This window comes from Homo sapiens, chromosome 9, assembly GCF_000001405.40.
Source record: "Homo sapiens chromosome 9, GRCh38.p14 Primary Assembly".
In the NCBI taxonomy this organism is placed as follows: Eukaryota; Metazoa; Chordata; class Mammalia; order Primates; family Hominidae; genus Homo; species Homo sapiens.
In genome coordinates, this window is record NC_000009.12 from 85,451,114 (window position 1) to 85,472,523 (window position 21,410).

The window sequence follows — 21,410 nt, forward strand, 5'->3', positions numbered from 1 at the left end:
TTTTGTTGGATTGGGTTAATTCAAAGACCTTGTCTTCAAGCTCTGAATTTCTTTCTTCTGCTTGTTCAATTCTATTGCTGAGACTTTCCAGAGTATTTCGCATTTCTAAAAGTGTGTCCAAAGTTTCCTGAACTTTTTATTGTTTTTTTCTTTAAGCTATCTATTTCATTGAATATTTCTCCCTTCACTTCTTGTATCATTTTTTGGATTTCCTTGCATTGGTCTTTGCCTTTCTCTGGTCCCTCCCTGATTAGTTTAATAACTAACCTCCTGAATTCTTTTTCAGGCAAATCAGGGAGTCCTTTTTGGTTTAGATCTGTTGCTGGTGAACTAGTGTGATTTTTGGGGGGAGGTTGAAGAGCCTTGTTTTATTATATTACCAGAGTTGGTTTTCTGGTTACTTCTCATTTGGGTAGGCTCTGGCAGAGGGAAGGTCTAGGGCTGAAGGCTGTTGTTAAGATTCTGTTGTCCCATGGGGTGTTCCCTTGATTTATTACTCTCCCCCTTTTCTTATGGATGTGGCTTCCTGTGAGCTGAACTGCAGTGATTATTGTCTCTCTTCTGGGTCTAGCTACCCAACGAGTCTACCTGGCTCTGGGCTAGTGCAGGTCTGCACAGAGCCCTGTGATGTGAACTGTCTATGGGTCTCTCAGCCATGGATACCCATGCCTGATCTGGTGGAGGTGGTGGAGGGTGCAATGGACTCCATGAAGGTCCCTAGCTTTGGTGGTTTAATGCTCTGTTTTTGTGCTGGTTGGCCTCCTGCCAAAAGGTGGCACTCTCCAGAAAGCATCAGCTGCAGTAGTGTGGAGAGGGACTGGCGGTGGGTGGGGCCCTAGAACTCCCAAGATTATATGTCCTTTGTCTTCCACTACCAGGGTGGATAGGGAAGGACCATCAGGTGGGAGTGGGGCTAGGCGTGTCTGAGCTTAGATTCTCCTTGGGCAGGTCTTTCTGTGGCTGCTGTGGGGGATGGGGATGAGATTCCCAGGTCACTGGAGTTGTGTACCTAGGAGGATTATGGCTGCCTTTGCTGAGTCATGCAGATTGTCAGGAAAGTGGGAAAGCCGGCAGTCACAGGCCTCACCCAGCTCCCACGCAAACCAAAGGACCTGTCTCACTTCCACCGTGCCTCCACACCAAGTGCCTCCCCACCAACCACCCCAACAGCCCCGAGTCTATTTCCACGTGGAGGGTGAGATGGGCTTGAGAACTTGCCTGAGGCTATTCACCTCCCAGCTGTGAAAGAAAGGGGCTTTAGTTCTTTCCCTGCCTATGAAGTCTGCACTACCAACTGGCTCCCTCCCCCAAGTTCAGCTAAAGAATTCCTTCTCCCTGTGGAGTTTTACCCCCTGCTCCTCTGGCCACCCTCCCAATGGATCCCTGTGGTGCCAGGGAGGAATGGGCTGCATGGGAACCCAGCGAGCTCCCAGGGCCTTTCTGCTGCTTCCTCCACCCCTGTATTTCAGTCGGCTCTCTAACTTGACAGAGCTCCAGGTAAAGTCAGAAACTTCTCCCCCAAACAGACCTTCAGCTTCCCCAGTTGGGGTGTGTGTTCAGAAGAGGAGGGTCTCCCTTTCCCACTATTTGGGGTGTCTCCCCGGTCCTGCAGAAGCAGTCCACTTCCTTCAGAGGGTCTGTGGGTCCTTTCTGGATTGCTGGTTTGTTCTTGCAGAGATCTGGAGCTAAAATTCACAATGTGAGCCCCCGCATGCTGCTCTGTCCAGAGCTTCAATCTAGTCCTGCCTCCCATCTGCCATGTTCCTCTGAATCCGAGACAACAAATTTTTCTATAAAGGACCACATAGTAAATATTTTAGCCTTTCTGGACCATATGATCTTTGTTAAAAGCACTCAATCCTGCTGTTATAGCACAAAAGCAATCATAGATAATAAATAAACTTTATTTACAAAACTAAGTGTTGGGCCATGGGCCATGGTTTTCCAACCCCTGGTATAGAGCACAGAAGAGGAAACAAAATTGACTCTGTACTAATTTCCCTCACCAGGCAGCTTCATTTATTCATGTACACATTGTTCATTACTCTGAAAAATTTTTCTACAGCTGCATTCAGAACAGGAATCAAAACATGAGAATAAAATAATTTCAGCAATTTTGGAACTTCTATGAATTAAACAACTGTGCTGACTCCAAGGGGAAAGAAATGATACAGTCAAAGCAAGAACTTCATCATAAAGGAATTAAGAAAGAGGTGCTTTTTTCCTAAGTGAGTGCTGTCATATTTTTCTGAGTTCATCCACAGCTGGTTATTTACTACAAGATGTGAAGCACACACTGATGCCACAATATGCAATGTACAAAATTATCAAAAGGTACATTTCCCTAACTATTTTGTGTCTCTTTTTGTACAATTTTCAACTGAATATACTGCACAGTGCAAATGCAACCTCTTAAAAAAAGAATTATTTTTATCAAGGAACAATGTTTTGTAATGAAAGAAAAAGCCAATTTCTTTTTTTTTTTTTTTTTTGAGATGGAGTCTCGCTCTGCCGCCCAGGCTGGAGTGCAGTGGCGCTATCTTGGCTCACTGCAAGCTCCGCCTCCCAGGTTCACACCATTCTCCTGCCTCAGCCTCCCTAGTAGCTGGGACTACAGGCGCCCACCACCAAGCCCAGATAATTTTTTTGTATTTTTAGTAGAGACGGGGTTTCACCGTGTTAGCCAGGATGGTCTCGATCTCCTGACCTCGTGATCCGCCTGCCTCGGCCTCCCAAAGTGCTGGGATTACAGGCGTGAGCCACTGCACCCGGCCCAGTTTCCTATTTTGAGCAGTGACTGTCATGACTCAGAAATAAGTGAATGCAATAGAGACAGGGTTCTGGAACTATTGGCTAGTGTAATAGAATGTATTATTGGCTCAGGATTCTTCCTTCCTCACCCTTCCTATTGTTCTCAGCAGAAGTTTAGTTCCCCACCCATTGATGTTGTGCTCAGCCACACGACTTGCCCTGGCCAACGGATGCAGATGAAGTAAGAGTGTGCTACTACAGAGCAGAGGCCTTTAATGACCTCCCCAGAAAACCTAAGCCATAGCCTAAAGCCAAACCATTCCAGCCACCCTGCAGATCTACCGAGGAGGAAAACTAATGTTTGTTGTTGTAAGTCACTAAGATTCCAGAGTTGTCACACAGTATTATCACAGCAACAGATGACTAATATAACTATTATTTATCACTTTTTCTTAATTTTCAGAAAATATTTTTCACATTGCCATGTGAGAAAGTATGGTTTGTAAACAATCATCAGTTCAGGAAAAATGTCTCACCTCTCTTAATAAACTGAGCCATTGAGTGTGATTAAGCCACATAATTTTACAGAAATCATTTTCAAAAATTTCTCATCTTTTTCCAAATGTTAAATGGTGTAGTAGGATAGTATTCTGAAGAACTAATGAATGTGCCCTCAACAATTCTCTACATTTTATTGAATTGTTAACCTGTAGGGCCTTTTCCCACTCCAAAGGCTGGAAAAGAGGAAAGACTGTTTCAAACTATGGATTGCAATCCTTTAATGAATCACAAAATTAATGATATCATATATATGATATGATATGATATGATATGATATCATATATGTATATATGATATGATATGATATCATATATGTATATATGATATGATATGATATCATATATGTATATATGATATATATGATATATAGATATATATAGAGAGAGATTTACTTATATATATAAGATTTACTTAATATATATATGTTGAGATTTACTTAATTTTGTGATTCAAATATATGTATATTTGGAGACAGAGTCATACTTTGTCACTGTCACAAAGGCTGGAGTGCAGTGGTGTGATCTCTCACTGCAACCTCCGGCTCCTGGGTTCAAGCGATTCTCCTGCCTCAGCCTCTCAAGTAGCTGAGATTATAGGAGTGCAACTCCACACCCAGCTAATTTTTTTGTATTTTTATTAGGGATGGGGTTTCGCCATGTTGGCCAGGCTGGTCTCAAATTCCTGACCTCTGGTGATCTGCCTGCCTTGGCCTCCCAAAGTGCTGGGATTACAGGCGTGAGCCACCACACCTGGCCACAACCAATATATGTTAAATAAAAAATAGAAAGTATTAGCATATATCACACATAAAAAGGTAAATATTATTTTGCAAATACATATGAGAAAAAAAAGACTGAATTGTGATGAAAAAAAGAACTTAAATTATTTTTTAATTGATAAATTTCTCTTACCCAAAGCTAGATTAGGTGACCCTGCTAGCTGATCCTGTAGCACCTGTTATCACTTTGATAGCCCATTTCAGGACATGACTCCTGAGGCTCACAGCCTTAATTCTGTCCTCAACCAGACTCTATCTGTTCCTTAGGGCTTTGTTTATTGTTGCCACTGTGATATCCTCATGAGTACTTAGTGTGGAGGCTGACACATAGTATACACCCAAGTACTTTTGGAATGAATGGTTTGGTCTTACCTTGGAGAACACATTTGCCCTTGTCACTGTTTCTACCATCATTCCAAACCCAAAAGAACACAACTGAGGTGAAGAGGCTGAGATTAGGAATGGGTTGGCCAGTGTCACAGAAGGTTGGGGAAGAAAGGCCATAGTGAGGTTCTTTTAAAATCTTCCTGATTCTAGGTGACCCAACATCTTTGTTTCTATCAGGGGATCAGGAGAGACATTTCACTTTCTGTTGAAATCCTTCAATTCCTCCTTCCTTAGATTCCATGGGAAGATGAAAGGGAGTGGGTTTTCACTAGCATGTTAGCATGAAGGAGTTGAATCTGATTGCCTTTTTAATACTTGTGACATAGGAGTCTGTGGTGTTGTGGGAAAACTGACTCTAGGTGCTTCAAGGGACTGGGACTCTCTGGATAGTAGGAAGATGTCGTTATTCTAGAAGGTTGGGTGAAAAAATGACAGTAGATGGATGAGAAGCACAAAAATAGAATGGTACCAATCAATGGACCCTTTTTTTTTTTAGACGGAGTTTCGCTCTTGGCTCACTGCAACCTCCACCTCTGGGGTTCAAGTGATTGAGCCCCTCAGATTGAATTCCTAGCTCAGCCTCCCGAGTAGCTGGGATTACAAGTGCCCACCATCACACCCGGCTAATTTTTGTATTTTTAGTAGCGACGGGGTTTCTCCATATTGGCCAGGCTTGTCTGGAACTCTTGACCTCAGGTGATCCGCCTGCCTCAGCCTCCCAAAGTGCTCGGATTACAGGCATGAGCCACTGCACCCAGCCTGGACACTTCCTTCTACTTTGTAATTCTACCTCATAGTCTGACCTTTATCCTAGAAACTAGATGAAAAATCATGTTAAGTCTGGAAACTATGCACCCCTGTGGCAGGTTGAGTTTCTGGGGACAAGTCTCTGAGATGGAGAGTTGTGTTCAGTGAATTTCATGTTGGTGCTCTTGGGAATAACATCTCAGAGGGGGCAAAAGGAATGTGATTGAGCCGCGAGAGAAGTGGGCTCTGAGGCAGTCACAACAAAGGCCTCTGCCAATCCCACTGAGGGCTTCCGAGCTATGATAACTCTGCTGAATTGTCCCTTTTGGGGGAAAGAGGCCACAGTTTATACCTCTGCGTTGGCCAGTCATGGAGATGTGGGCCCTGAATAGGGAGTGTGAGCTTGGTGGGGAGGCATCCCTCTTCAGGCATGGGCAATCCCTGGAAACGGGAAGCCCATGAAAACCGTAAGCTGTTGGGAGTGTAAGTACTGCATACTAAATGGGAGTGGGTGGGGTTAGATAAGGGTAGGGCAACATGGCATCCACTGTGATTTCAAAATCGTGTTCCAACTGGACCATTTATGTATTCATTCAATAAATTTGTATGGAACACCAAAAAAAATAGTTCCAAGGCATGAACTTTGGGGACACATTCAAACCATAGTACATAAAATTGAGTAATATACATAATATACTGCAATGAAAATGAGAAACTACTGCTATATGACATAGATTGAAAATTTTTTTAATTCAATAGCTAGAAAAGAATATGTGTGTGCTTGAATATATATATCCAAAGTAAATAAAGACAAAAAATAAATGCAAAGGACACTTTCACATCCTTAGACCTAAAGAAAACCTCTTTAGAGCAGTTTTAGAATTGCCATTATGTTCCAACTTTAACCATGAAGCCTTCTGAAAACTGAGGCCAAGAAATTTTGAAATGATGAAGACAAATATTTACATAACTCTTATTTGAATATTTTAAAATTTTTTAATAGGTAAGAAGTAAAAATTTAGACTACCTCATTTCCATCCTGGGCCCTCGCGTTCCTTCCCCTGGCTGCCGTTGTCAGCTCACCTCATGCACCATTCTGAGATGATCGATCACCAGCTGGAGTGTAAATTATCACTTCCTAGAGGAGAGATTTGGAAATGAGACTGAGCCAGGAATGACCATTGGAGAAGGGTGTTGCGAAGACTGCAATTATATATTTACTATTGCTGACACAAGAATTATGACAGATTCATTGGTATGACCCAACGCTATAACTGTATGTAGTTATTCAGCCATCCTTGTAGTGAGAGAAGATTCCAGTACAGTTCACATGGGGCCACCATTTCGGCCAAGTGAGGTGCACGGTACTCATTCTCTGTCCTTAAGATCTGAGGGGAGGATGTTGACAGCATTCAGGTAGACAGTGAGGGGAACCATGGCCAGTCCACACCTGTGCCCAGGTAAGCCAGGCCTGACCAGCTTTCCAATGATTCCATGCCAAAAGAACAGAAAAAAAGCAGCATGGAGCCTGGGGAAACAATGTAGGAGCAGAGAGAAAGGAAAGAGTACACTCAGGCTACAGAGGAAAAATCTGCTTTTTTGAAAAAACCAAAATCATATATATATATATATATGTATATATATACACACACACACATACATGTATACATATATTTTTTTAAGAATGAGAAACATTCCAAAAATTTCAGAAAATTTGTTCCCAAAACTTATATCCCTAAACTACAAAATCTTTATATCTATATATCTCTTTAAATCTTTAAACTCTATAAACTCTATACATCTTTAAACTACACATCTCTTTAAAAAATTATTTATGTAAAAAATGAAATACTTAGTGTGGTGGGTTGAATAATGTCCTTATAAATGTATATTTACCAGGAACCTCAGAATGTGACCTTACTTGGAAATAGGGTCTTTGCAGATATAATTAGTTAAATTAAGATGGTGTCATACCGGGTTAGTGTCAGGCCTCTAAGCACAAGCCAAGCCAAGCCATCACATCCCCTGTGACTTGCATGTATATGCCCAGATGGCCTGAAGTAACTGAAGAATCACAAAAGAAGTGAATATGACCTGCCCCACCTTAACTGATGACATTCCACCACAAAAAAAGTGTAAATGGCCGGTCCTTGCCTTAACTGATGACATTACCTTGTGAAAGTCCTTTTCCTGGCTCATCCTGGCTCAAAAAGCACCCCCACTGAGCAACTTGCAACCCCCACTCCTGCCCGCCAGAGAACAAACCGCCTTTGACTGTAATTTTCTTTTACCTACCCAAATCCTATCCAACGGCCCCACCCTTATCTCCCTTTGCTGGCTCTCTTTTTGGACTCAGCCCACCTGCACCCAGGTGATTAAAAGCTTTATTGCTCACACAAGGCCTATTTGGAGGTCTCTTCACACAGATGCACATGAAATTTGGTGCCATGACTCAGATCAGGGGACCTCCCTTGGGAGATCAATCCCCTGGCCTCCTGCTCTTTGCTCCATGAGAAAGATCCACCTACTACCTCAGGTCCTCAGACCAACCAGCCCAAGAAACATCTCACCAATTTCAAATCCGGTAAGTGGCCTCTTTTTACTCTCTTCTCCAACCTCCCTCACTATCCCTCAACCTCTTTCTCCTTTCAATCTTGGCGCCACACTTCAATCTCTCCCTTCTCTTAATTTCAATTCCTTTCATTTTCTGGTAGAGACAAAGGAGACACGTTTTATCTGTGGACCTAAAACTCCGGCGCCAGTCACAGACTGGGAAGGCAGACTTCCCTTGGTGTTTAATCATTGCAGGGAGGCCTCTCTGATTATACACCCACGTTTCAAGAGTGTCAGACCACACAGGGACGCCTGCCTTGGTCCTTCACCCTTAGCGGCAAGTCCCGCTTTTCTGGGGAAGGGGCAAGTACCCCAACCCCTTCTCTCCTTGTCTCTACCCCTTCTCTGCTTTTCTGGGGACAGGGCAAGTACCCCAGCCCCTTCTCTCCTTGTCTCTACCCCTTCTCTGCTTTTCTGGGAGAGGGGCAAGTACCCCTCAACCCCTTCTCCTTCACCCTTAGTGGCAAGTCCCACTTTTCTAGGGGGCAAGAACCCCCAATCCCTTATTTCTGCACCCCAACCTCTTATCTCTGCACCCCAACCCCTTATTTCCATGCCCCAACCTCTTATCTCTGCACCCCAATCCCTTATTTCCATGCCCCAACCTGTTATCTCTGTGCCCCAATCCCTTATTTCCATGCCCCAGCCTCTTATCTCTGTGCCCCAATCCCTTATTTCTGCACCCCAACCTCTTATCTCTGCACCCCAATCCCTTATTTCCATGCCCCAACCTCTTATCTCTGTGCCCCAATCCCTTATTTCTGCACCCCAACCTCTTATCTGCACCCCAATCCCTTATTTCTACACCCCTACCTCTTATCTCTGTGCCCCAATCCCTTATTTCCATGCCCCAAACCCTTTTTCCCACTTTTCTGGAAGGTAAGATCCCCCGAACCTCTTCCCTCCATTTCTCTACTCTCTTTTCTCTAGGCTTGCTTCCTTCACTATGGGTAACCTTCCACCCTCCATTCCTCCTTCTACGCCCTTGGCCTGTGTTCTCAAAAACTTAAAACCTCTTCAACTCACACCTGACCTAAAACCTAAATGTCTTATTTTCTTCTGCAATGCCACTTGACCCCAATACAAACTCGACAGTAGTTCCAAATAGCCAGAAAATGACACTTTGAATTTTTCCATCCAGCAAGATCTAAATAATTCTTGTCGTAAAATAGGCAAATGGTCTGAGGTGCCTGACTTCCAGGCATTCTTTTACACATCGGTCCCTTCCTAGTCTCTGTGCCCAGTGCAACTCGTCCAAAATCTTCCTTCTTTCCCTCCCGCCTGTCCCCTCAGTACCAACCCCAAGCATCGCTGAGTCTTTCTAATCTTCCTTTTCTACAGACCCATCTGACCTCTCCCTTCCTCCCCAGGCTGCTCCTCGCCAGGCCGAGCTAGGTCCCAATTCTTCCTCAGCCTCTGCTCCTCCACCCTATAATCTTTTTATCACCTCCCCTCCTCACACCTGGTCTGGCTTACAGTTTCATTCCATGACTAGCCCTCCCCCTCCTGCCCAGCAATTTACTCTTAAAAAGGTGGCTGGAGCTAAAGGCATAGTCAAGGTTAATGCTCCTTTTTCTTTATCCCAAACCAGATAGCGTTTAGGCTCTTTTTCATCAAATATAAAAATCCAGCCCAGTTCATGACTTGTTTGGCAGCAACCCTGAGACACTTTACAGCCCTAGACCCTAAAAGGTCAAAAGGCCGTCTTATTCTCAAAATACATTTTATTACCCAATCTGCTCCCAACATTAAATAAAACTCCAAAAATTAAATTCCGGCCCTCAAACCCCACAACAGGATTTAATTAACCTCACCTTCAAGGTGTACAATAATAGAAAAAAGTTGCAATTCCTTGCCTCCACTGTGAGACAAACCCCAGCCACATCTCCAGCACACAAGAACTTCCAAACGCCTGAACCGCAGCAGCCAGGCGTTCCTCCAGAACCTCCTCCCCCAGGAGCTTGCGACACGTGCCGGAAATCTGGCCACTGGGCCAAGGAATGCCGGCAGCCCGGGATTCCTCCTAAGCCGTGTCCCATCTGTGTGGGACCCCACTGAAAATCGGACTGTTCAACTCACCTGGCAGCCACTCCCAGAGCCCCTGGAACTCTGGCCCAAGGCTCTCTGACTCCTTCCCAGATCTTCTTGGCTTAGCTGCTGAAGACTGACACTGCCCGATCGCCCCAGAAGCCCCCTAGACCATCACGGACGCCGAGCTTCGGGTAACTCTCACAGAGGAAGGTAAGCCCATTCCCTTCTTAATCAATACGGAGGCTACTCAATCCACATTACCTTCTTTTCAAGGGCCTGTTTCCCTTGCCTCCATAACTGTTGTGGGTATTGACGGCCAGGCTTCTAAACCTCTTAAAACTCCCCAACTCTGGTGCCAACTTAGACAATACTCTTTTAAGCACTCCTTTTTAGTTATCCCCACCTGCCCAGTTCCCTTATTAGGCTGAGACACTTTAACTAAATTATCTGCTTCCCTGACTATTCCTGGACTACAGCTATATCTCATTGCCTCCCTTCTTCCCAATCCAAAGCCTCCTTTGCGTCCTCCTCTTGTATCCCCCCACCTTAACCCACAAGTATAAGACACCTCTACTCCCTCCTTGGCGACCGATCATGCACCCCTTACCATCTCATTAAAACCTAATCACCCTTACCCCACTCAACACCAATATCCCATCCCGCAGCACGCTTTAAAAAGATTAAAGCCTGTTATCACTCACCTGCTACAGCATGGCCTTTTAAAGCCTGTAAACTCTCCTTACAATTCCCCCATTTTACCTGTCCTAAAACCAGACAAGCCTTACAAGTTAGTTCAGGATCTGCGCCTTATCAACCAAATTGTTTTGCCTATCCACCCCGTGGTGCCAAACCCATATACTCTCCTATCCTCAATACCTCCCTCCACAACCCATTATTCTGTTCTGGATCTCAAACATGCTTTCTTTACTATTCCTTTGCACCCTTAATCCCAGCCTCTCTTCGCTTTCACTTGGACTGACCCTGACACCCATCAAGCTCAGCAAATTACCTAGGCTGTACTGCCGCAAAGCTTCACAGACAGCCCCCATTACTTCAATCAAGCCCAAATTTCTTCCTCATCTGTTACCTATCACAGCATAATTCTCATAAAAACACACGTGCTCTCCCTGCCAATCATGTCCGACTGATCTTTCAAACCCAAGCACCTTCTACAAAACAACAACTCCTTTCTTTCCTAGGCATGGTTAGCGCGGTCAGAATTCTTACACAAGAGCCAGAACCACACCCTGTAGCCTTTCTGTCCAAACAACTTGACCTTACTGTTTTAGCCTAGCCCTCATGTCTGTGTGCAGCAGCTGCCGCTGCTTTAATGCTTTTAGAGGCCCTCAAAATCACAAACTGTGCTCAACTCACTCTCTACAGTTCTCATAACTTCCAAAATCTATTTTCTTCCTCATACCTGACGCATATACTTTCTGCTTCCCAGCTCCTTCAGCTATACTCACTCTTTGTTGAGTCTCCCACAATTACCGTTGTTCCTGGCCGAGACTTCAATCCGGCCTCCCACATTATTCCTGATACCACACCTGATCCCCATGACTGTATCTCTCTGATCCACCTGACATTCACCCCATTTCCCCAAATTTCCTTCTTTCCTGTTCCTCACCCTGATCACGCTTGATTTATTGATGGCAGTTCCACCAGGCCTAATCGCCACTCACCAGCAAAGGCAGGCTATGCTTATAGTATCTTCCACATCTATCATTGAGGCTACCACTCTGCCCCCCTCCACTACCTCTCAGCAAGCCGAACTCATTGCCTTAACTCGGGCCCTCACTCTTGCAAAGGGACTACGCGTCAATATCTCTACTGATTCTAAATATGCCTTTCATATTCTGCACCACCATGTGGTCATATGGGCTGAAAGAGGTTTCCTCACTACACAAGGGTCCTCCATCATTAATGCCTCTTTAATAAAAACTCTGCTCACGGCCGCTTTACTTCCAAAAGAAGCTGGAGTCATTCACTGCAAGGGGCATCAAAAGGCGTCAGATCCCATTGCTTTAGGCAATGCTTATGCTGATAAGGTGGCTAGACAAGCAGCTAGCTCTCCAACTTCTGTCCCTCACGGCCAGTTTTTCTCCTTCACTTCGGTCACTCCCACCTACTCCCCCACTGAAACTTCCACCTATCAATCTCTTCCCACACAAGGCAAATGGTTCTTAGACCAAGGAAAATATCTTCTTCCAGCCTCACAGGCCCATTCTATTCTGTCGTTATTTCATAAGCTCTTCCATGTAGGTTACAAGCCGCTAGCCCGTCTCTTAGAACCTCTCATTTCCTTTCCATCATGGAAATCTATCCTCAAGGAGATCACTTCTCAGTGTTCCATCTGCTATTCTACTACCCCTCAGGGATTGTTCAGGCCTCCTCCCTTCCCTACACATCAAGCTTGGGGATTTGCCCCTGCCCAGGACTGGCAAATTGACTTTACTCAAATGCCTCAAGTCAGAAAACTAAAATATCTCTTAGTCTGGGTAGACACTTTCACTGGATGGGTAGAGGCCTTCCCCACAGAGTCTGAGAAGGCCACCGCGGTCATTTCTTCCCTTCTGTCAGACATAATTCCTCAGTTTGGCCTTCCCACCTCTATGCAGTCTGATAACGGACCAGTCTTTACTAGCCAAATCACCCAAGCAGTTTCTCAGGCCTTTGGTATTCAGTGGAACCTTCATATCCCTTACCGTCCTCAATCTTCAGGAAAGCTAGAACGGACTAATGGTCTTTTAAAGGCACACCTCACCAAGCTCAGCCTCCAACTAAAAAAGGATTGGACAGTACTTTTACCTCTTGCTCTTCTCAGAATCAGAGCCTGTCCTCGAGATGTTACAGGGTACAGTCCATTTGAACTTTTATATGGACGCACTTTCTTGCTTGGCCCCAACCTCATCCCAGACACCAGCCCTCTAGGCGACTATCTTCCAGTCCTCCAGCAGGCTAGACAGGAAATTTGCCAGGCTGCTAATCTTCTCTTGCCTACTCCAGATCCCCAGCCATATGAAGACACCCTAGCTGGACGATCAGTTCTTGTTAAGAATCTGACCCCTCAAACTCTACAACCTTGATGGACCGGACCCTACTTATCTATAGTACCCCAACTGCTGTCTGCCTGCAGGATCCTCCCCACTGGGTTCACCTTTCCAGAATAAAGCTGTGGCCATCGGACAGCCAGCCTAATCCCTCCTCTTCCTCCTGGAAGTCGCAAGTACTCTCCCCCACTTCCCTTAAACTCACTCTTATTTCTGAAGAACAGTAATAACCCTTATGAGCCTACTACATCCCTTCATTCTATTAGGTCTGTTCGTCCTTACCCTACTTTTTGCAACAGGGCTTTACGAAGTCACCCCCACCACTTAGGCCGAGCCCCAAAAACTAGTCATCCCTACTATCTTCTGTCCGGTCATACTCCTATTCTCCATTCTCAACTACTTATAAATGCCCTACTCTTGTTTACACCGCCGGTTTACACTGTTTCTTCAATCCATCACAGCTGATAGCTCTTGGTGCTATCCCCAAACTGCCACTCTTAACTCCCTCTTAGAGTGGATAGATGATCTTTGCTGGCAAGGCACCCTCCAATACTTCCACCCTGATGAAGTTCTATTCTTTACTTTTATACTCACTCTTATTCTCATTCCCATTCTTATGTCACCCTCTACCTCTCCCCAGCTATCTCCACCACACTATCAACCTTACCCAATCTCTCCTAGCCGCTTCTAATCCCTCCTTGGCAAACAACTGCTGGCTTTGCATTTCCCTTTCTTCCAGTGCCTACACAGCTGTCCCCGCCTTACAGACAGACTGGGCAACATCTCCCGTCTCCCTACACCTCCGAACTTCCTTTAACAGCCCTCACCTTTACCCTCCTGAAGAACTCATTTACTTTCTAGACAGGTCCAGCAAGACTTCCCCAAACATTTTACATCAGCAAGCTGCCGCCCTCCTTCGCACTTATTTAAAAAACCTTTCTCCTTATATTAACTCTACTCCCCCCATATTTGGACCTCTCACAACACAAACTACTATTCCAGTGGCCGCTCCTTTATGTATCTCTCGGCAAAGACCCACTGGAATTCCCCTAGGTAATCTTTCACCTTCTCGATGTTCCTTTACTCTTCATCTCCAAAGCCCAACTACACACATCACTGAAACAATTGGAGCCTTCCAGCTCCATATTACAGACAAGCCCTCTATCAATACTGACAAACTTAAAAACATTAGCAGTAAAAAAAAAAAAAAAAAAATTAGCACTAATTATTGCTTAGGAAGACACTTGCCCTGTATCTCACTCCATCCCTGGCTACCTTCCCCTTGCTCATTAGACTCTCCTCCCAGGCCCTCTTCTTGTTTACTTATACCCAGCCCCAAAAATAACAGTGAAAGGTTGCTCGTAGATACTCAACATTTTCTCATACACCATGAAAATTGAACCTCCCCCTCTATGCAGTTACCCATCAGTCCCCATTACAACCTCTGACAGCTGCCGCCCTAGCTGGATCCCTAGGAGTCTGGGTACAAGACACCCCTTTCAGCACTCCTTCTCATCTTTTTACTTTACATCTCCAGTTTTGCCTCGCACAAGGTCTCTTCTTCCTCTGTGGATCCTCTACCTACATGTGTCTACCTGCTAATTGGACAGGCACATGTACACTAGTCTTCCTTACCCCCAAAATTCAATTTGCAAATGGGACCGAAAAGCTCCCTGTTCCCCTCATGACACCAACATGACAAAAAAGAGTTATTCCACTAATTCCCTTGATGGTCGGTTTAGGACTTTCTGCCTCCACTATTGCTCTCAGTACTGGAATAGCAGGCATTTCAACCTCTGTCACGACATTTTGTAGCCTGTCTAATGACTTCTCTGCTAGCATCACAGACATATCACAAACTTTATCAGTCCTCCAGGCCCAAGTTGACTCTTTAGCTGCAGTTGTCCTCCAAAACCACCGAGGCCTTGACTTACTCACTTCTGAAAAAGGAGGACTCTGCATATTCTTAAATGAGGAGTGTTGTTTTTACCTAAATCAATCTGGCCTGGTGTATGACAACATTAAAAAACTCAAGGATAGAGTCCAAAAACTTGCCAACCAAGCAAGTAATTATGCTGAACCCCCTTGGGCACTCTCTAATCGGATGTCCTGGGTCCTCCCAATTCTTAGTCCTTTAATACCCATTTTTCTCCTTCTTTTATTCGGACCTTGTATCTTCTGTTTAGTTTCTCAATTCATCCAAAACCGTATCCAGGCCATCACCAATCATTCTATACAACAAATGTTTCTTCTAACATCCCCACAATATCACCCCTTACCACAAGACCTCCCTTCAGCTTAATCTCTCCCACTCTAGGTTCCCACGCCGCCCCTAATCCCACTTGAAGCAGCCCTGAGAAACGTCGCCCATTCTCTCTCCATACCACCCCCCAAAAATTTTCACTGCCCCAACACTTCAACACTATTTTGTTTTATTTTTCTTATTAATATAAGAGGGCAGGAATGTCAGGCCTCTGAGCCCAAGCCAAGCCATCGCATCCCCTGTGACTTGCATGTATATGCCCAGATGGCCTGAAGTAACTGAAGAATCACAAAAGAAGTGAATATGCCCTGCCCCACCTTAACTGATGACATTCCACCACAAAAGAAGTGTAAGTGGCCGGTCCTTGCCTTAACTGATGACATTACCTTGTGAAAGTCCTTTTCCTGGCTCATCCTGGCTCAAAAAGCACCCCCACTGAGCACCTTGCGACCCCCACTCCTGCCCGCCAGAGAACAAACCGCCTTTGACTGTAATTTTCCTTTACCTACCCAAATCCTATCAAATGGCCCCACCCTTATCTCCCTTCGCTGGCTCTCTTTTTGGACTCAGCCCACCTGCACCCAGGTGATTAAAAGCTTTATTGCTCACACAAAGCCTGTTTGGTGGTCTCTTCACACGGACGCGCATGAAAGTTAGGATGGGCCGTAAACCCAATGGCTGGTGTCTTCCTCAGAGGAGACACATAGAGACTGACACGGGGGAGAGGCCATGAGGGAGGCTGAGACTGGAGGGGTGCAGACACAGGGAAGGATTGCTCGGAGCCACCAGAAGCTGGAAGAGGCCGGGAAACGTTTTTCTAGAGCCTTCGGAGGGAGCCAGGTCCTGCCAGCACTTTGATTTAGCCTCCAGGATTTGAGAATAAATTTCTGTGGGTTTAAACCACCCAGTTTGTGACAATTTATTATGGTAGCCCTGGGAAACAAACATGATAAGACATGAAAGAGTATATATAACAGAAATGAACAGTTCAGAATAACGATGAGCTAAACACCAGTTTATCCATGACCTAACTTAAGGAAGAAAAGTTACTGATAACTTCGAAGCTCCCCACTGTGCCCCTCCCTAGTCACACCACCTCCCTTCATCTCTACTGTCTAGAATTTTGCATGAAGCATTCCTTTCTTTTTCCAAGATCAGAAGAGATAGAGTGTTTTCAGGGTGGTATGGCCATAGACAAGCATTCCTTTCTTTTTCTTTGTAATTTCCTTACACACGCATATGAATACATTTCCAAACAACATGGTGTTTAGTTTTGCTTGCTTTGAGCTTTTATATAAATTGGGTGATACTTTATATATTGTTCTTTATGTGTTTTTTTACATACTATTTTGTTTTTGAGATTAATTTGTGATGATGTATAGTACTGCATATACAATATATTGATTCCTTTTATGACTAATAACATTAAAGTAGTTCCCAATATTTTGCTATTATCAGTCATGAACATTCTTGTATATGTCTTCTAATACACATGTGCCTCATTATGAGGATATAACAATCTGAATTGCAATTGGTTAAGAACTGAAATTGAGTTTCTACCTAATAGTAGAATTGCTGAGTTACAGGGTATGTTTATGTTTATGTTTATACTTTATAACTTTATAAAGAGCATACTTTTGAAAATATAACAAAATTAAGAGGAGATTTTTAGATGTTGAAAACACAGACTCTGTGAAATAAGACAGAAAAGATCAGACAAAACACAACCAGTTAATAACCCAAAATCTGGCAAGGACAGAAAAAGAAACAGACTAACCTCACTTAAGAATATAAATGTGAAAATCATACATAACATAAAAGTAATTCAAATGTAAAGTATATATTAAAAACACATTATTACCAAGTTGATTTTAGTCCAGGAATGCAAGCATGATTAAATATTAAGAAAAATGGGTCAAATCACAGAAATATGCCATTATCTCAATCAGTACTGAGAAGATATTTGATAATATTCAGAATCTTTCTTTAAAAAACCTCTTTATGAATCAACACTAGAAAAACAGATTTTTAGCATGATGAAAAATATCCACATTAAATTAAGAACAAGAAGAGACAGCCTGCTTCAACCTCTATTATTCAGACTAGTTCTGCAATTTCTAGTCTGTGCACTAAGAAAAAGAAAATGAGGTACAGACACTAGTGTGCCCACATGTCAATCCTGCTTTTGCTTCATGCCAAACTCCATGCTAGATTCAGCCCTGCCACAAATCTGACCTCCCAACAACTATCCTTTTTACACCAAAAATATTATTGAAAAAGTAAGAAAGTAGAATGGTAAATGACAAGCTAAAATATATTTACAATACACAAAGCAGAACAAAAACGTTGATACATTGGAAGAAGTGTTTTTAATTAATAAAATAATTAACTAATATTAAAGAAATGAATAAGAAACATGCACAGGTCACAAATGGCTAATAAAAACATGAAGTATTGTCCAACTTCAACAGTAATAGAGAATGCAGGCATTTTTAAAATAAGATATAATTGTCCCTGATCATTTGGCCAAGATTTCTTTTTTAGGTATTCTCAAGGATTCAGGATTTGCACATGCTCATACACCATCAGTAGCTGTAAACCTGTATAACTTTTTTAAAGTGATTTGGCAATACACATAAAATCTATAAAATACTCATAATATTTGACTTAACAGTCCTTCCAGAAATTTATTCGAAGGAAATTGTTCTACGAAAAGTATAATTATATGAACAAAAATAGTTTTGGCTTTACTTTTATGAACAGTGAAAATCTAGAAAAGGCTTAAATGTCCATCATCTCTACAGAATTGGTAAAATACTGTCACATCCAGCACAATTACGCCATGGGCTATTGCACAGCCATGAAAAATGATGCCACAGGCCCCAGCAGCTCATCGGCGGGAGCGGCAGCAGCAGGCAGCCCGTGCAAAAGCACTTGCTGGGTGACGGCCCAGAGGTAGCCAGGGGCCCCTTCCCCAACGCAGGCACCGCCAAGATCCACAAGAGCAAGGCGGATTCAGCCTAAGGGTCAGTAAAGAAACCCTCAAGGAACCAGCAAAATGGTCCAGCAGACCTGTTCCTACAAAAGTAACAAAGTCAAAAAATGAAAAATAGAGAAGGATAAATCTTCACAATGCGAATAAACACAAGTGAAACAAAAGCAAAAGGAAGAGGTCAGTGGGTAGCAAAGAAACTGAAGATTTCTCTGCAGAATGATGAAGTAGGAAAGAAAGAAACCGGGTCTGATCATGAGTGTCATACACTGTACCAAGTCTTCTCCGGGGTCCTTGTATCTCCCTATTGGTCAGCTATTTTGTAAAAGCAAGTTTCTTACAAGCTCTAGAAATAATTAAGAAGAAAGAAAACCTAATTCATTCCATTTTGTTTTGTTTTTAACATATTTAGATAAGTTTAAATGCCTTTTCTTAAAAGGTGAAATCCAGTTATGTTGTTTATTTTTCTGCACAACTGGGAATTAGAGGCATATTGAATTACAGAAGGCTTTGATGTCTTGTGTGCCAATGTAACATTCCATAGGTTGGGGGGAATATCCTATAATATGCAGCATAACTAAATGCAATTTACAGTCATAATCATGCACTTAGAGTGTCTCAAACATTTTAAATTGCTTATCCTCTATACCCATATTATTCTTTGGCAGGATAGTTAAAAAAAAATAATTAATTAATTTACAAAAAAAAAAAAAAAAACACCTGCTCCCTCATCTTAGCTCTCCCAGTCAGATTTGAGAGCTTTTCTTTGACATTTTTGGTAACGGTAGCCTATTCTACAGCTTTGCTAATATGCTATGAAAGATTGGAATTTTTTAGAATGTTGTAAGATATTAAATCATGAATCAATGGCATTTTGGCTCTAACAGCTTCCCAATATTTTATCATTCATATTGCTACTTGATATCCTTGTTTTAAGGACAATTTGCCTCCTTTTTTTTTTCTTTTTTTTTTTTTTTTTTTTTTTTTTTTTTGAGACAGGGTCTCAGTCTCACTCTGTCACCCAGGCTGGAGTGCAATGGTGCGATCTCGGCTCACTGTAGCCCCAAACTCCCAGGCTCAGGAGATTCTTCCACCATGGCTTCCCGAGTAGCTGAGACCATAGGTACACACCACCACACCTGGATAATTTTTGTATGTTTGTAGAGATAGGGTTTTACCATGTTGCCCAAGCGGGTCTCGAACTCAAGTGATCTGCCTGCCTCAGCCTCCCAAATTGCTGGGATTACAGGCCTGAGCCACTGTGCCCGGCCATGCCTCCAAATTTTAACTAAAGAGACTGGGTAATTTTTCAGAAAATGACTGCAACTACTTTTTTTTTTTCCAATTAATACTTGCATAAGAATTGTATATATTCTCACTTAATACTTGCATAAGATTGTATACATTTTCATTTAATACTTGCATAAGATTGCTTATAGTACTTGTGATCAGATCCAACAAAAACCAAGACATTTTTTCACGTGGGCTCTGTTGTCCTTCTAACTGCTGGCATGAACTCCTTCAATGTTGAAATGTCGTCATTTCAAATAGAGTTATGCACTTCGTTGGTACTATGCACACTGAGTTTGTTACTTAAAATTTCTTCCAAAAGATTTCACTACAACCAGCATTAAAATAAAATAATATAATGTATGTAGAAAGACATGGAAACAGAACAGCAGAGCACAAATTTAATATTACTGAAGCAAATAATCTTCATTGAAAGAATGACTACAATTCCAGATTTTCTTAAAAGGAAACAATCAAGTTTTTTATGGGACCCAAGAAAGAAGATACCTGGAAGTGAGTGAAAATAAGAAAATGCAAAAAGATTGCCTTCACACACCATGCAATGCAACTGGAGGGTGGAGAAACTGGCACATCTCAGAATAGATGAAGGAAACTTCATAGCATCAAGAAGCTGATTGGCCGGGCGCGGCGGCTCACGCCTATAATCCCAGCACTTTGGGAGGCCGAGGCGGGCGGAACCCAAGGTCAGGAGAACGAGACCATCCTGGCTAACAGGGTGAAACCCCGTCTCTACTAAAAATGCAAAAAAAATTAGCAGGGCGTGGTGGCGGGCGCCTGTAGTCCCAGCTACTCGGGAGGCTGAGGCAGGAGAATGGCATAAACCCGGGAGGCGGAGCTTGCAGTGAACCAAGATCGCGCCACTGTACTCCAGCCTGGGAGACAGAGCGAGACTCCATCTCAAAAAAAAAAAAAAAAAAAAAAAAAGAAGCTGATTATGATGATTCATGTATCACACAAGACTATCAATGAGGTATTATTGTGCTATTATTTAATTGATAGTTGTTCTTTCTTTTTCTTTCTGTCTTTCTCTTCTTATAATGGGACACAAACAATCCGTGATGTCTTATATTCAATGCAATATATCTTCTTTGTTAGTTTGGAAAGTTATCCTTGAAAGATTTTGTGTTCCTTTCAGTGGCACGTATACTAAAATTGGAATGGTCCCTGGTTGAAGATAACATGCAACCTTGTCAAGTGTTCTACATTGTTTCTATTTCTTTCTGGGTGTTCATCTTGGGGAAATTCATGCACACATTTCTCTAAATATATCATGCTTTAACAAAGGGGTCCCCAACCCCCAGGCCATGGACCAGTACTGATCTGTGACCTGTTAGGAACCTGGCCATAAGGCAGGAGGGGAGCAGCAGGCAAGCGTTACTGCCTGAGCTCTGCCTCCTGTCAGATCAGAGGCAGCATTAGATTTTCACAGAAGCATGAACCCTGTTGTGAACTGAATATGGGAGGCATCTAGGTTGCAAGCTCCTTATGAAAAACTACTGCCTGATGGTCTGTCAGTGTCTCCCATCATCCCCAGATGAGAGTGTCTAGTTGCAGGAAAACAAGCTCAGGGCTCCCACTGATTTTACATTATGGCAAGTTGTATAACTGTTATTATATATTATAATGTAATAATAATAGGAATAAAGTGCACAATAAATGAAATGCACTTGAATCATCCTAAAACCACACCCCTGCCCTGGTCTGTGGAAAAATTGTCTTCTATGAAACCCGTCCCTGGTGCCAAAAAGGTTGAGGAGTTTTGCTTTAACGAAAGTTTTTATAAAATATCAGTATTCAATACAGTTTGTATAGTATAGACCCAATTTGGGTAACTGTGTGTAGGTATGCATGTCTGTCACCTTTGTGCCCATATTTGTGTACGTAGGCAAAGAATCCACAATGTCAACACTAATTATGGAAAGATGG

The 21,410-nt window shown here is 43.1% G+C and overlaps 2 annotated features.

Annotated features, from left to right (window-relative positions):
- Nucleotides 7,026-7,900: an enhancer, noted in NCBI's record as "OCT4-NANOG-H3K27ac hESC enhancer chr9:88073054-88073928 (GRCh37/hg19 assembly coordinates)". NCBI's record gives its function as "activates a minimal SCP1, AML or CMV promoter by ChIP-STARR-seq in naive and primed H9 embryonic stem cells {active_cell/tissue: H9 hESC(naive and primed)}" and the evidence as "EXISTENCE:reporter gene assay evidence [ECO:0000049][PMID:30033119]".
- Nucleotides 15,545-16,374: an enhancer, noted in NCBI's record as "OCT4-NANOG-H3K27ac hESC enhancer chr9:88081573-88082402 (GRCh37/hg19 assembly coordinates)". NCBI's record gives its function as "activates a minimal SCP1, AML or CMV promoter by ChIP-STARR-seq in naive and primed H9 embryonic stem cells {active_cell/tissue: H9 hESC(naive and primed)}" and the evidence as "EXISTENCE:reporter gene assay evidence [ECO:0000049][PMID:30033119]".